The 15619-nt window shown below is 43.8% G+C and overlaps 1 protein-coding gene across 2 annotated transcripts in view, besides 1 other annotated feature; it reads right to left on the minus strand.

The window, feature by feature from the left end:
• Positions 1 to 14942, minus strand: part of GGACT (gamma-glutamylamine cyclotransferase) — a 58610-nt gene extending 43668 nt beyond the window's left edge. Inside the window, exons 1-2 of one of the 2 annotated variants that reach the window (NM_001195087.2) lie at positions 14894 to 14942; positions 9978 to 10150 (exon numbers count right to left, since the gene is read on the minus strand). The gene's annotated coding sequence lies outside the window, so the exon portion shown is untranslated. Of the gene's footprint in view, positions 1 to 9977; positions 10151 to 14752 lie in introns of both variants that reach the window. The other variant, XM_047430708.1, reaches the window with a different exon arrangement.
• Positions 14575 to 15094: a silencer, noted in NCBI's record as "silent region_5477". NCBI's record gives its function as "represses an Ori minimal core promoter by ATAC-STARR-seq in GM12878 lymphoblastoid cells {active_cell/tissue: GM12878}" and the evidence as "EXISTENCE:reporter gene assay evidence [ECO:0000049][PMID:35858748]".

A 15619-nucleotide genomic window follows, 5' to 3' on the forward strand; every position in this document is an offset into this window, starting at 1 on the left:
CATCTCACACCTGTCAAGATGGCATTATCAAAAAGTCAAAAAAAAAAAAAAAACATGCTGGCGAGGCTGTGGAGAAAAGGGAATGATTATACACTGTGGAAATGTCAATTAGTTCAGCTACTGTGGAAAGCAGTTTGGAGTTTTCAGAGAACTTAAAACAGACCTACCTAGCAATCCCATTACTGGGTACACATCCAAAGGAAAATAGATCATTCTACCAAAAAGACACATGCACTCATATGTTCATTGCTGTACTATTCACAACAGCAAAGACATGGAACCAACATAGGTGTCCATCAACAATGGATTGGACAAAAAATGTGGCACATATACACCATGGACTACTACAGTCATAAAACAGAAAGAAATCATGTCCTTTGCAGCAACATGGATACAGCTGGAAGCCATAAGCTTAACTGAATTAACACGGGAGCAGAAAACCTGGCCGGGCGTGGTGGCTCATACCTGTAATCCCAGCACTTTTTGGGAGGCTGAGGCCGGTGGAATCACTTGATGTCAGGAGTTTGAGACCAGCCTGGACAACATGGCAAAACCCTGTCTCTACTAAAAATACAAAAATTAGCTGGGTGTGGTGGTGCACACCTGTAGTTCTAGCTACTCAAGAGGCTGAGGCAGAAGAATCGATTGAACCTGGGAGGCAGAGGTTGCAGTGAGCTGAGATTGCACCACTGCACTCCAGCATGGGCAACAGAGCGAGACCCCATCTCAAAAAAGAAAGAAAACCAAATACCACGTTCTCACTTATAAATGGGAGCTAAACACTGAGCACACATGGACATAAACCTGGGAGCAAGAGCCAGTGAAGATACTAGAGCAGAGAACGGAGGGAGGCAGGGGTTGAAAATGACCCACTGAGTACTATGTTCACTACCTGGGTACAATATGCTCTGTAAAAAACCTGCACAGGTACCTCCTGTATCTAAAATAAAAGCTGAACTAATAAAAAGAAATTAACAGAACTGCTTCCTCCAGAATATCATATAATATATAAATCATACTTATGTGTATTAAAAAAAAAAGAGACAGAAATCTATCCAATTTAACACTTGAAACCAAATCTTCCCTACACTTGGCCTCTGAGGTTTCAGCCACAGCAACCTCAAGAGCCCATCTGATGTCTGTCCTCAGTCTTCCTTTGTCAGCTCAGTTTTTCCTTTGTGATGTCCCTATATTAGAAAGGAAGGTCTGCCAATAGGTCGAACCCTCCAGCAACTTTTCAGAAGGAAAAACAGGGAGATTCCAGTCACAAAATAAAACCTATATGCTAACGTTCTTCCAAGTAGATGACAGGAATCTTCGTTCTGTGTCTTTTAAATACTACCACCAACTGAGAGCCTATACCATAGCAGTTAACGGGTGAGGTTTGAATTTACAGAAGGACCTCCATTAGCAATGACCTGTGTACCCAGAGACTTTCCCAGTTTCATCGTAGGGGAGGAGTGAGAGATGACAAACATTAACAGTGGCATTTTAGTAACTAATCTAGGAGTCAACTCCAGACTTTCAACCAATAGTGATCAGAGACTACTGTTCCTAAATCAGACAAAGAGATAGATGCATGATTTTTGTTTCACAAATTTCGACTTGTTTTCTTCTTTGAGCTCACCATGTTTTAATAAGGAAAAAGGTATTCAAATGCAAACTTTGACTACTGCTTCAGACACACTGGAGCAGCCCATTAAAAAAACTATGATGGGATCAGCCCAGGCAACATAGCAAGGCTCCATCTCTACAAAAAATTTAAGTTAGCAGGATGTAGGTGGTGCACAACTGTGGTCCCAGCTACTTGGGAGGCTGAGGCAGGAGGATCACTTGAGCCCAGGAGGTCGAGGCTGCTGTGAGCTGTGACTATGCCATTGCACTCCAGCCTGGGTGACATAGTGAGACCCTGTCTAAACAAACAAACAAACACTACAATGGTGTTTGCTACAGTTAAAGGGCATTCAAACAAATTACTCTCTGCTGACATCCAGTTTGTTCTCATGTAATCAACTATTCATCGACCGATCCAATCTAGCATAAAACTGATGGCAAAAGCAAACATGGCACTACTAGTTACTACTACTAATGGTCAAACAGGAATGAGATGCTCAGGAATGAAATGCATATAATGAATGGATCTTGCATTGCAAAATGCATTGTGAATTCAGTTATTATTTTGTAATACTTTGCCAAATATAATCTCTTAATTAGTGAGATTTGAGAATGACTCTTATCTATATAATATCCTGGCTTTTTCAGTATACTTACCATATTTCAATGTAAAAAATCAGAAAACCAATATTTATTTTGAAAACAGGTATATGAATTTAATCCAATAACTTGTAAGAGAATTATTAAAAACAAATTTTTGTAATCTCAAAAACCTAATAAAAATAACACATCTATTAGGATGGCTCAAATAAAGAAACACCAAATTGATAACATGAGATGCTGAGAAGGATGTGAAACAACTGGAACTCTCACCATTGCGGGTGGGAATGCAAAGCAGTACAGGCATGGTGGAAAGTGTCTTATAAAATTAAATCTAGAACTTTCTTACAAAATTATGACCCAGCAATTGCACTCCTAGGAATCTACCCTAGAAAGATGAAAACTTTTCTTCAGATAAAAACCTGTATATAAGTGCTTACAGCAGCTGTATTCAAAATCACCAAAAACTGTAAATAATCCAAATGGCCCTCCACTGTGAATGGATACATACAATGCAGTACATCCAGACGATGGCGATAAGAAAGGACATACACACAAACAAATCTCAAAGTTGTCGTCGAAGTGAAAAATCAGCCTCAAAGGTTGCATATTATATCATTTCATTTACATGACATTCTGGAAAAGGCACAACATACGAAGATGAACAAATCAAAGCTGTCAGGGTTTGAGGAAGGGGTGGGTTAGACTACAAAGGGGCAGAATGAGGGAGGGTTTGTTTTGTTTCCTGGCTTTTTGGTGATGGGACTGCTCTGTATACCGTTGGTGATGGCCAGTACAAGAATCCACACATTTTAAAGCTATTCACATTGTACAAACAAGTTGGTTTTACTGTAAACTTAATAATAATGAATGAAAGCATGAGAGCATGCAACTACTCTAAAACAGTTTAAAAATGAAAGGTAAAAGAATAAGAACACTCTGAATCAAATTAATGCCTGGCATACAAAATTATTTTTAAAAGAGACAAGAGATACATAAACCAAATACAATAGATGGGATTTAAAAATTCTGACTTGAATAAACCAACTGTACAGACCTTGTTTTAGAAAAATAGGCCGGGCAGTGGCTCACACCTGTAATCCCAGCACTTTGGGAGGCTGAGGACGGCGGATCATCTGAGGTCAGGAGTTCAAGACCAGCCTGGCCAACATGGTGAAACCCCATCTCTACTATAAATACAAAAATTAGCCAGGCGTGGTGGTGGGTGCCTGTAATCCCAGCTACTCGGGAGGCTAAGGCAGGAGAATCACTTGAACCCAAGAGGCAGAGGTTGCAGTGAGCCAGGATCACGCCATTGCACCCCATCCTGGGTGACAAGAGCGAGACTCCATCTCAAAAATAAATAAATAAATAAATAAATAAATAAATAAAAAGAAAAAGAAAGGAAATTGGGATAAAATATTAAAAGATGTTAAGGAATATTTTTTCATTGTTGGACAGAATTATATTTATGTAAAAAACCCTCAAAATTCATAATAAAATATTTGGGGGTGAAATGACATGATTTCTGGCATTTGCTTCAAAACTCTAGAAACAAGCAAACAAAAGTCCAAAACACAAAGGGAGGAGGGCACGTGGAACAAGCATGGCAAAGCCAGTATGGTGCAGTGATCTCTGATCCCGGGTGGGTGGCACATGAGGGTTACTATACTGTACTTTTGAGTATGTCTGGAAATGTTCACAGTAAAATGCTGAAAAGGGAAAAAAAAGAGAGAAAGGGGAGAAGGAAAGTAGGGAGGGATGAAGGGGAGAAGGAAAGGAGGGAGGGCAGCAGGGAGGGAAGAAGGGTTCATCAACTGGGATGTGTCTCTATCCCTGCAGGAACCAAATTCAAGGCCAATTTGTACCTAATTGTTATGAATAAAGGGTGGGAATGATATTTTCACTTGCCTTTCTTCACCAGGGGTTCGTTATTTACTCAGGCACAACTAAAATATCAGAAGGGAAAGATAGAAAAGGGAAATGGATGTTTTCTAAGAGAGCCCTGATCACAAAGTTGACTCTGAAAACCATTCATTTGATAAGGCGATACTGGCATCTGGGCGTCCACAGGGAAATGTCCGAACACCAAGTGCACTCCTCTTTTCCTCCCACGGTAGTGGCTACCTTCACCTCTACAGCTCTAATCTCAAACACTGCCAATGGAGAGAGCACCTCCCTGGACACAAGTTTGTTCAAGATGTCTTTGTTATAGATATTCTGCCAATATTGTTTTTATTCTACATAATGAAAACATCCACTTATGCCACCACTACACCGCAACCTGAGAGTCCAGAATGTGTCGCATTTGCGTAAGATATCTGCCAGTTAGCCCAGATGGGAAGTGACACAGAGGCTCGAGAAAACCAGTGAGAGGCAGGTAACCGAGCTTCTGGCAAGCTCCCACAGTCAGTACATTCATTTATATCCCAGCTGATCTTAAGCCCCGGAACCCTGGTTCTGCTGGCTTACCTGTGAGTCTACTTGACTTCTGTTGTAAAAGATCCTGCTGTTCACAATTCTTCCTAAAATTACCACGTTAACCATGACTTAGACTTCGTCAATGTTCCCTCCAATGCCGTCAAACCATTCTTTGTTCATTTATGAGATATACTAATCTCCTCTTATAAGTTTTTATTAGGCTTTTATAATCTGGATCTAACTTTGCAGAAAACTAAATCAAGGGAGGAAGAGTAATTCAAAGCAGGCAGTTATGATTATTTTCAATAATGGCTCAAAGAACACTTTTCAAACCTCATTTAATGCTGGAAAGTTAATAAAACCATCATGAGATGTAAAAATATTAATTTTCTTTAACTTACCTGCCTCGTACTCCCAAGTACAGATGACAACAGCAGGAAGAGGTAATTAACACTCAAAAGCTTGAAAAGTAAATGTGGTCATTTGAAAAATGGACAGGAACACAGCATAATATGGGGAGTATTCCCGCATATACTCTTCCTTACTCTAATTTACTCTGGCCTGACTCAGAACATCAGTTCTGTAAAAACACTCTCGACTAGCTGGAAATGAGTTCTTTCTTACTGGGTGCCCACTATGTGGAAGGCATGATGGCGGACTCCGAATGAGGAAGGCATGGTTCTCACCCAATCAGAGCTCACAGCCCTGCAGTGTTTAGGCTAGCATGCAAAAACAATTAATTATGCAAGACAAAATAACATGAAATTCAAATAAAAGAGCAACTGCAGCAAAACCACCCCCAGGGTACGGAGGCAGGAGTACCCACAGCTGTGGGGAGAGGAGGGCCTAGGAGTTGAGGGGTTCAGCAGCTCAGTCTCTCTGACTTTCTCCTGCGTGTGTCTTGCCCCTCTCATCCTCCCCCAAGACAAACCACAGGATCCAGAACTTCTCTTCCCCAGTGCAGGTGACAGGAACCAGAACCCCTTTCCCCAAAGCCAGCCATAAAACCTAAAAATACTACTCTCTAGCCTTCCCCATGCCTTTCTGTATAACAGCTGGCCATAAAGACCTTGGACAATGAGACCCTCATTCCAGAGGGTCCTACCCCATTCCTGGAAGGAAGAAATGCTACAACAGAGAGGCCAAGAAGAACCTGAGGAGACAGGCCTTGCTGGGCTTCCCTACTCGGTCTATTTCCATCAGCTCACACCCTTTTTTCCAAATGAATTTCCACATGGCGGTCTGTGCTTCTTCACATCTAAGCAAAATCTGGAGAGTTCACCCTGGGTCTCTGGGTCTTCATTCTGAAAGCTCCTATGTCATTTAAAACTATGATTGAACACGTTTTGCTTTTCTATTGTTAATCTTTGTCATTGGGGTGTCAGCCATGACCCTTATGACAGGGTAGAGAGGGATCACCCCCTTTCTGCCCCTACAGAGTGAATCAGAAGGTTCTGAGCACCGTTCTGCTGATGGAATTCACACGTGGAACTTAGGTCTCCTGTCAGCCCAAAGCCCCCTCCCTTCAGCGCTGAGGAAAGAGGGGCCTGCTGGGTCTAGACCTGATGGGTCTGCCTCGGTGTATAAGAGCAGCAGAAACACACCTCGGGGATTGGCACCTGGTCTTACTCTGCCAAAAATGCCTGGGGATCTGCTCTGATCCTGCGACTGCTGCTGCATCACAAAGTGAGGCTGACAGAACAAAGGTCCCCAGCAAACATGTCCATGCCCTAATCCCTGGAACTTTTGACTATGGCACCTCGCACGGCAAAGGGACTTTGCACATGTGATTAATTAGGGAAGCTGAGATGAGATCATCCTGGGCAATCTACACGGGCCCTGAATCCAATGGCAAATATCCTTATGAGGGACAGAAGACAGACACCGAGGAGGGGGCCATGTGAAGACACAGCAGAGCCGGGAGGTGTGCGACCACTTGCCGCAGAACGCCTGGAGCCGCCAGAAGCTGAAAAAGGTAGGGAAGGACTTTCCATACAGCCTTTGGAGGGAGGGCAGCCCTGACAGCACCTTGATTTCTGGTTTTGGATTCTGTGAGCAGAGAATAAATTTTTGTTGTCTTAAGCTTCCCAGTTTGTGGTAATTTGCTATGGAAGCCCTAGCAAATGAACACAGTTACTAAGTAACTCTTCTGTGTCAAGTCAGGATAGCAAAGGCTGCCTTGGCTTAGGCAGAATAAAACAGCCAGGGCTCACAAGTGATGGAAGAACTGCCAGGGGGAAGCTATGAAATCTGCACCCTGTAGATCTGACTGTTAAGATGTTCTCAAGGTAGTAGGATCTCATTTCAGCCTGCCCAAAGAAACTTTCACCTGTTGGCCCAGTCTACAGTTACAAGACTAAAGGCAAAAGGAACTGTGTATATTCATAAAAACCGGGCTCTCGTTGTTTAAGTGGTTCCCATAGGGCGAGATGGCAATTCCAACACTGTGATACACACATATGTACTGAACAAGTAGGCAAATGTGCCACAGGCAATGGGAGCCACGTTTCTCACTGTTGGAATGGGAGGTGAGAGACAGCAGGGAAAACGCAAGAGTGATCCACGGGGTAAAGGATTAGGGCTGGAGACACCAGTGTGGACTCACAGAAACAAATGGTTCCATACAGAAGTATTTAGTGATATGTGTATATACACAGGTCAGTACACACAGACATTTCCTTGCTCCATCAGCTGAGAGGACCTAAAAGCAATGCCACCACAGTCGAAATGAGCACACCAGCATCCAGCTTGTGGTTTCTAACACCATCTCCAACAGAGGGGACCAGGGTTCCCCAGAGAAACGGCTGAACCTAAGACTGAAGCAGGAAATACACAAGATCAATCTAGGGCATCTAGCAATATTGGAAAGCAAGGAAGTGCTCAAAAATAAACAAACCCACCAGCCCACAAAGATGGGACAAGTTGAAAGGACACAAGAGACAATGGAACAGGCTCCCAATGGCCAAAGCAGGAACAACTGGAGAACAAAATAAGGAGTATTGGATTAGAACCTAAAGTATAATATAAGTATCTGTGAGTCCATAATGATATAAATGGCTGAGTAAATAAATGCAAGAAAACAGATAACCCTCCTGCACGGAAGAATTCCAAATAACATATGTAGACACTTTCCCCTTAAGGAGATGAAGCCTAAATAACTCCTCCCTTCAGAAGTGCAGGCTGCTCACTGTGACTTCCTTTCAGAGCACAGTATGAAGGGAGGGGGAAAGTGTGACTTTACAGTGGAGAAACCTGCCAATCACTATTTCAGTCAGGTAATCAAGATCAACAGCAAAAGAGAGAAGTCATGTAGACAGTATGTGTGCTTGATACGATGTAGCAAAAATGACACTTTATCTCCATGGTCTTCCTCCCAATCCCCACACCCCTGTGGCAGTGACTCTGTGGGGTGAGGGCTAAAGCAAATAATAAATTATGCTGGGTTGTTCTGAACTGAGATTTCTGGAGTGGAAGAAAGGGGTATGGATATAAGTTCTATGACATTAAGCAAAAACGTTGTAGTCCAGAAAAAGACTTGGATGTTACCAGTATGCGCTCATGAAATATTTTATCTTGAACAATGGTTTTCCCTGTCTCTGTCTGTTGAAATGGCTTAAAAACAACTGCCAATCCAACAGCAATGAGCACCTTATTAGGGCCAGATTATGGCCTTTAAGTACCATTTTTCACTTTAAAACAGCTAACCAGGGCTCCTTGGAGAAACAGCTGATTTCAGATTTGGGGCAATAAATCTGACCATAACTTCCTCTTACTGTTGGGAGGAACTTCAAAACTTATGATGACCTACAGAATCCTCTCTCCCTGGCTCCCTCTCCAGTCCCATCTCCTCCCTGCCAAGGACTCAGCCACATTCACCTTCTTTTGTCTCCTCAAATCTGTGGTTGGCAGAATAATGGCCACCCAAAGATGTTTACATCCTAATCCCTGGAACCTATGAATATGTTAACTCCTATGCCAAAAGGGACTTCACAGATGTGAGGACCTTGAGGTGCAGAGATCAATCTGGATTATCCAAGTGGGCCCAATCTAATCAAATGAGGAATCCTTAAAACTGGAAAACCTGCCCTGGATCAGATCAGACAGATGTGACGACAAAAGCAGGGTCAGAGAAGGGTAATATTGTTAGCTTTGAATATGGAGGAAAGGGCCAATAAGCCAAGGAATGCAGGTGGCCTCTAGCAGCTGCAAAAAGGAAGAAAACAGATTCTCCCTAGAGCCTCCAGACAGCTGTTATTATACACATATTTTTAATTAAAAAGTCCAAAATCACCCAGCTAGTAAGTGGCAGTGTCAGGACGAGAAGCCAGGCGGTCTGACACAGAAGTTGGTGCCCTTAACCATGATGCTAATATTTGTCTCCCACATAATAGAAATTCCAACACCTTTTTCATTCATTAACATGATACCCTCCAGTGTTCAGAATAGCTTAATAAATAGCTGCTGAATATGAATGAATGGGACAAAGATATAACTTCCCCCTGCTATTTTTTTCTTGGTAAAAAAAACTGTGTTATGGAAAGTAAAATATGTACAAAACTAGGGTAATGATAGAAGGAACTCTCAAATACTCATCTCCCAACTTCAACACTTAGCAACATACGGCCAATCTTAATGCCAACATTAGTTTGGTATTTATTGTCTGGAAATACTCCCCCTTCAATAATCTTTTTCAGAATCACATGTTCCTAGCTCTCATTACATTTTCATTTATCTGTGTTAACACGAATTTTTAAAAGAAACCTTAAAATGGGCAAGTCTTTCTAAGCAAAACACAAAACAAAGACACTATAAAGGGGAGATCGATATTTTTAAGTACATAAAATTAAAATTTTTTGCAAAGCCTAGAGACTGTATTACACAAAGTACAAAAAATAGGGTGGAAATAGTTATAGTACGTATGACAAAAGATTAGTATTCTCAATGTATAAATAATTCTTATAAATCAAAAGACAACCCCAGAGAAAAACAGATGAAGAAATGAATATACACTTTCTCTACTATTCTTTCCTTCCCTTTCCCTCCTCCTTTAATTTTTTGAGACAGGGTCTCACTCTGTTGCCCAGGCTGGAGCACAATGGCATAATCAGTGTAATCACAGCTCACTGCAGCCTCAATCTCCTGGGATCAAACAATCCTCCTGCCTCAGCCTCCTAAAGTGCTGGAATTACAGTACAAGCCACCGTACCTGGCTCCCCACCACTACTATTCTTAAATGACAAAGAGACAAGGGCTTCCAACTGGCACTATTTGTCAGCATACTTCTTGTGGTGCTCTAGAATTTGAGCAATGAACACTCTAGAACAGAGGCTAACAGTTCTCACCTGTAAGCTTGTTTCTTCAAGGAAGTGTTGCCTTAGAATCCAGATCCACAGTAAGCCTGAGAGTCTTAAAAACTTTTGACTTCAGAATCCTTCCACATGATTCAAGAAAAAGTTAAGTCCACTTCACAGGGTGACCAGAAAGTCCATGGGGACCAAATATCCAGTTTTCAGTCCTGTTGGGAGGTGAGATAAGAGGAAGTCAACTGAAGAAAGTTAAACATTTAAGCAATAAGGGGCTTACAAACAAACATAAATGACCTAACTACCATTAGAAGGCAATCTCAGACCCTGGGCACATACCCAGGGAAGGAATATACTTATATTCAGTGCAAAAATGCAGTCCACATGCTTGAGGGGCCAAAGAATGCCTTGAATAGAGGAACCTTCCCAGTGACCTAGAGAAAGGGTTCAAAGTTCTCAAGACCTCCTTGACAAAATGTGGTACATATACACAATGAAGTACTATTCAGCCATTAAAAAGGAGATCCTGTCATTTGCAACAATATGGTGCAGCCGGAGGTCGTTATGTGACGTGAAATAACCCAGACACAGAAAGACAAACTTTGCATGTTCTTACTCATTTGTGGGAGCCAAAAATTAAAACAATTGAACTGACTGAGATAGAGATCAGAATGATGGTTACCAGAGGCTAGGAAGGGTAGTAGGGGGGTTGGGGGAAAGCAGAGATGGTTAATGGGTACAAAAACACAGAAAGCAGGAATAAGATCTAGTATTTGATAGCACAACAGGGTGACTATAGTCAGTAATAATGTAACTATACATTTAAAAATAACTAAGAGTATCGTTAGATTGTAACACAAAAGATAAATGCTTGAGGTGATGGATACCCCATTTACCCTGATGTGATTATTACACATTGTATCTCATATACCTTGTAATGAGGGTTTATTATTACACATTGTATCTCATATACACCTATTACTAGGTACCCACAAAAATTAACTATCAAAAAAGAACTATTTGAGAAATAACAGCTCTATATACTCTCCTACAAATAAGAAAAGTAAAAAGAAAAAGAAAAAATGTCTTCTCAGCCATCAGGCAAAGCCAATTTTAGTAATGCTGAGCTCCTATTTTGGTAATGTTGAGCTTCTTTGATTCTTTGATGAGGGTTTCCAAGTCTTTAAAGTCAGATAAATTTAGATTTAAAAAAAGTCAAACCACTTCTGAAGTAGACTTGCCAAAAATGGCAAGCATGAACCTAATTAAGCCTCTAGATCTAACTTCTAGTTTACAGGAAATATAGGGGATAGAGAAGCAAGCCAAACCACACTCCACGAAAAGCAGCCCAACAGATCCAGAGTGTGAGGCACCCTACAGGCAATCAACCAAGTAACATCGACAGTCATTGGTATTGAGGAAACCCGCCAAGGCTGCTCTAGACTTGGGTCGGCAAACCACAGCCTGCGGGTAAGTCCAGCCTGTGGGTGGATTTTAAAACACAAAAGCTTTGGAAATTAAGTATTATTGGAACACAGCCATGCTTATCCATTTACTATCACCCCTGGCTACTTCTGCATGACGATGGCAGAGCTGAGCAGTTGTGGCAGAGACCATAGGGCCTGCAAAGCCTGAAAGAGCTGGTATCTGGCTCTTCACAGAGACATCTGCCACCCCTGCCCTAGATTGAAAGGGGCAACAGCTGAGCACGGTGGCTCACGGCTGTAATCGCAGCACTTTGGGAGGCAGAGGCAGGTGGATCACTTGAGTTCAGGAGCTCCAGACCAGTGTGGCCAACATGGTGAAACCCCGTCTCTACTAAAAATACAAAAATTAGTTGGGTGTGGTGGCATGCGCCTGTAGTCCCAGCTACTTGGGAGGCTGAGGCATGAGAATCACTTGAACCCAGGAGGCGGAGGTTGCAGTGAGCCAAGATTGTGCCACTGCACTCCAGCCTGGGTGACAAGAGTGAGTGAGACTCCGTCTCAGGAAGGAAAAAAAAAAAAAAGACCAGCCTGGGCAATACCTGTCTCCACCAAAAAAAAAAAAAAAAAAAAAAAAAAAAAAAAATAGCTGGGCATTGTGGCACATGCCTGTAATCCCAACTACTCAGGAGGCTGAGGTGGGAGGATGGCTTGAATCCAGGAGTTCGAGGTTACAGTGAGCCATGATCTCAGCAGAGCTGGTTCCTGTCTCAAAAAATAAAATAAAATAAAAAGGTAACAGTCAACAAATTCTTGTCTGGATGTGGATTCAAACAAACCAACAGTAAAAATAAGTTCATTTTTGAGGTGATCAGGGAAATCTGATCATGGACTAGGTTTTAGAAAATGTTAAGGAATTATTGTCAATTTCATCAGGAGGTGATAATTGTATTATGGTTACACAAGCAAATGCCCTTTCTCTGGAGAAACATACTGAACAATTTAGGGGTGAAGTGTTATGTTGTCTGGAATAAACTGCTTTAAACTGCTTCAGCCACAACCAAAAAAAGAAAAAAAAAGATGAAGTGGATATGGCCAAACAAGACTTGTGAAGTCCATTTGATGGATATATGGAAATTCATTCTACTTTGCTGGGCTTTTATGTTTGCTTAAAATTTTCCCAATAAGCAAAACAAACAAACAAACAAAATCAGAACCTTGATCAAAATGTAGAGGTTATCACTGGAGAGCCTTGCTTTCCAGGCACCCCCACCCCCGACCCCACCCCTCCTCTCGCGGAGTCCAGCCTCAGCACGCCAGTTGTTCACCTTTGTCTGAACACACTGTCATTTTCAGCTTCTTATTTTTGCTCATGGTGTTGGCCACCCTTTCCATTCCTGTGCCTATAAAAATCTGTTCTCTGCTTAAGGTCTCCCCAACTGTGACCTTCTCCTGGCCCTCCAGTGAGCACTCACCTCTCAGTTCCAACAGCACACTGCCTCTGGTTTCATTCTTCGCTACGTTCTAGCTATTTACCAGGTCTGTTACCTCATGATGCCATACAATCCCAGAGACTTCCAATAGCTAAGTCTTTTCTGTAAATCCATTTAAGGGGGTATCACGATGCCTTTTACGGAGCAAGCTCCGCAGTCCAGGGGCAGGTCCTCACGGCCTAAACACGGCTGCCTTATCCTGAGTAGTTTTACTGACAATAGAGCTTCAACTGAAGAATGAATTCCTGTTCAGCAGGACACTGGGCAGTCATGTTTAATTGAGAACTCTTAAAATTCCTAATAGAGTTTGCCTAGATGGAGGATGTTCTAAAGAGGGCTGCGAATATTTCGTGTTTCTGTCCTCTTACTGTCACCTTTCCTTGGGTCCTGTCCCCTCTTCAAGCATGGCTGCACTACACTTCCACACCAGCCTGCTGGTGTCCTAATCACTGGTAAGGGCCCTGGCTCGAGGTGGATACAAAGCCTCCCAATGACTTCACTTCAAGAATGGACACAGATTGGAAATCTTACTAGTAAAGAGAGAAATGAACAGATCATTTTAAAATCCCTCTTCTATTCTGCTTACTGCTACCTACTATCCAGATCACCACAAACAACCACCCTCTCCTAACTAGTAGTAGTTAGGGCCTGGTTAGTAAAATCAACTAGCCCAAAGTATTTCCGTACAAAAATCCACCAATTAGAAATTAATTTAACTTTGCAAACTCAGCTTTTACAATACGAATCTCTGCTAGAACACAGTGGTCTGCTTATTCAGGGAAGTCTGGCTTCTTCTGGGAATAGTTTCAGGAAAACAAGGCATTTTGGGAAAATACGGGCAAACTGCAGGTGCTCTTCATCTGAGCATTTCAATAAATTGAATGAGGCCAGGGAAAAGTCTTCACTTACAGGTAAATGTACATAAGGACACCTACGTGTGTGTAAGACCTACACTTTAAATAGGTCACCTTTAGTTTTTCATTAATCATTTCTCCTGGGACATTTAGCAAAACGAATAACTTGCTTTTAAAAAAGGCCACAAATCCCGGGTGCAGTGGCTCATGCCTGTAATCCCAACATTTTGGGAGGCCAAGGCGGGCGGATCACGGGGTCAGGAGTTCGAGACCAGCCTGGCCAACATGGTGAAACCCTGTCTCTACTAAAAACACAAAAATAAGCTGGGCGTGATAGCAGGCGCCTGTAATCCCAGCTACCCGGGAGACTGAGGCAGGAGAATCGCTTGAACCCGGAAGGCAGAGGTTGCAGTGAGCCGAGATCGCGCCACTGCACTCCAGCCTGGGCAACAGGGCAAGACTTCATCCCAAACAATAAAAAGGGCCAGAAATCGACTGCATTTTCTTATCACTTAAATATTAAATCAACTAAGCGTGGAGTTAAGAAGCTGTGTTCAAAAAACACTTAAGTCTGCTTTTGAGCTTGTGGCGTTGTCCTTGGCCCACAGAGTAAAACAGCAATGATAACCATAATTAATAATCAAGGCAGTAAATTTCTTCAAAATTTCAGAAGTTTCACTAATGGCTCCAAAGAAACCTTAGATCAGAAATTCACAAGTGCCAGGAGACGTTTTTAGATTTCTTTTGCAGCTTCTAGTCTCCTTACAAACAGGAAATCTTTAAAATGAAAAACAATTTCTGAGAAGTGTTAGCCCGGTTCAGCTGAGGTCCTCTGAAAGCCAGCGTGTGGGCTGTCACGCTTCCTTTACAGGGAAGCAGCGCCCGTGCGTGAGGCGGTTCCTGGCTTTTACCGCCCTCTGCCCGTTCTGGCAATCGCGCCCGTGGCCCCCGCGCGGGGCAATGGAGGACGCGTTTCGGGGTCCACCGTCCCCTCCCTCCGGCTGGCCTCGCCGGCCGGCGGCGCCCCAGGCCTCCTCCCTCACCCGCGGGGACGCCGAGTGCTGCGGCCTCGACCCGGACGCCGCGCAGGGAGCGACGCCCCAGGTTCCCGCGGGCGCCAGGACACCCCGCCTGGGGGGCGGAGCAGGCGCAGCCCCGACCCCCGCCCGGGCTCAGCGCCTCACCTGCCGGCAGCCGGGGCTGTCGGGGAGGGCAGGGCCAGGGCGGAAATGCAGGGCCGGGCCCGCGCCTCTGCTCCCAGGCCGCCCCCGGCGGCGCCCCCTGCAGGCGGAACGCGAGGCCCGCCAGCCCCTGCGGCGCCCTCGCACACACGTGGCCGCTCGCACAACTGGCCGCCTAACAGCCAGACCCACCCACGCCGATGCCCGCCGGAGACGCCCCGCCGCAGACACAGCGCAACCAGCTTCACACACCTGGGGACGCCCCACAGAAGTCACATCCACCCTAACACACCTGGGCACTCAGGCTCAAGCCCCGACTGCATGGTGGACCCTGACACACCTGGGCCACACCCCACAAAACAGACTCACAGACGACTCCACAAGCTTGGGGACACGCCACATCAAATGGACACACATGCACACACAAATGAACCCAAGCGCAGACACACTTGGGGATGCCAACCATGTGTGTATCTATCACATCACACACCACCAAGGCCCCCCAGCTGGGCATGCACACAGCCCTGATACCGAGTCCAGACCGCCATCTAGTCACACTGCCCACTTACTTACCAATACTCTTAAAATGAAACTGTGGCCGAAGGAGACAATGGAAGGATGACATCACCTCTTCCCTAGCTCCAGGACTAATTTAAGCCCCAGAAATTATAGGACTGAGAACCAAAATCGAAAGAGAACATTTTCCCTAGAGACAATGGGTTAAAGCAA

Source organism: Homo sapiens, chromosome 13 (genome assembly GCF_000001405.40).
Source record: "Homo sapiens chromosome 13, GRCh38.p14 Primary Assembly".
Taxonomy (NCBI): Eukaryota; Metazoa; Chordata; class Mammalia; order Primates; family Hominidae; genus Homo; species Homo sapiens.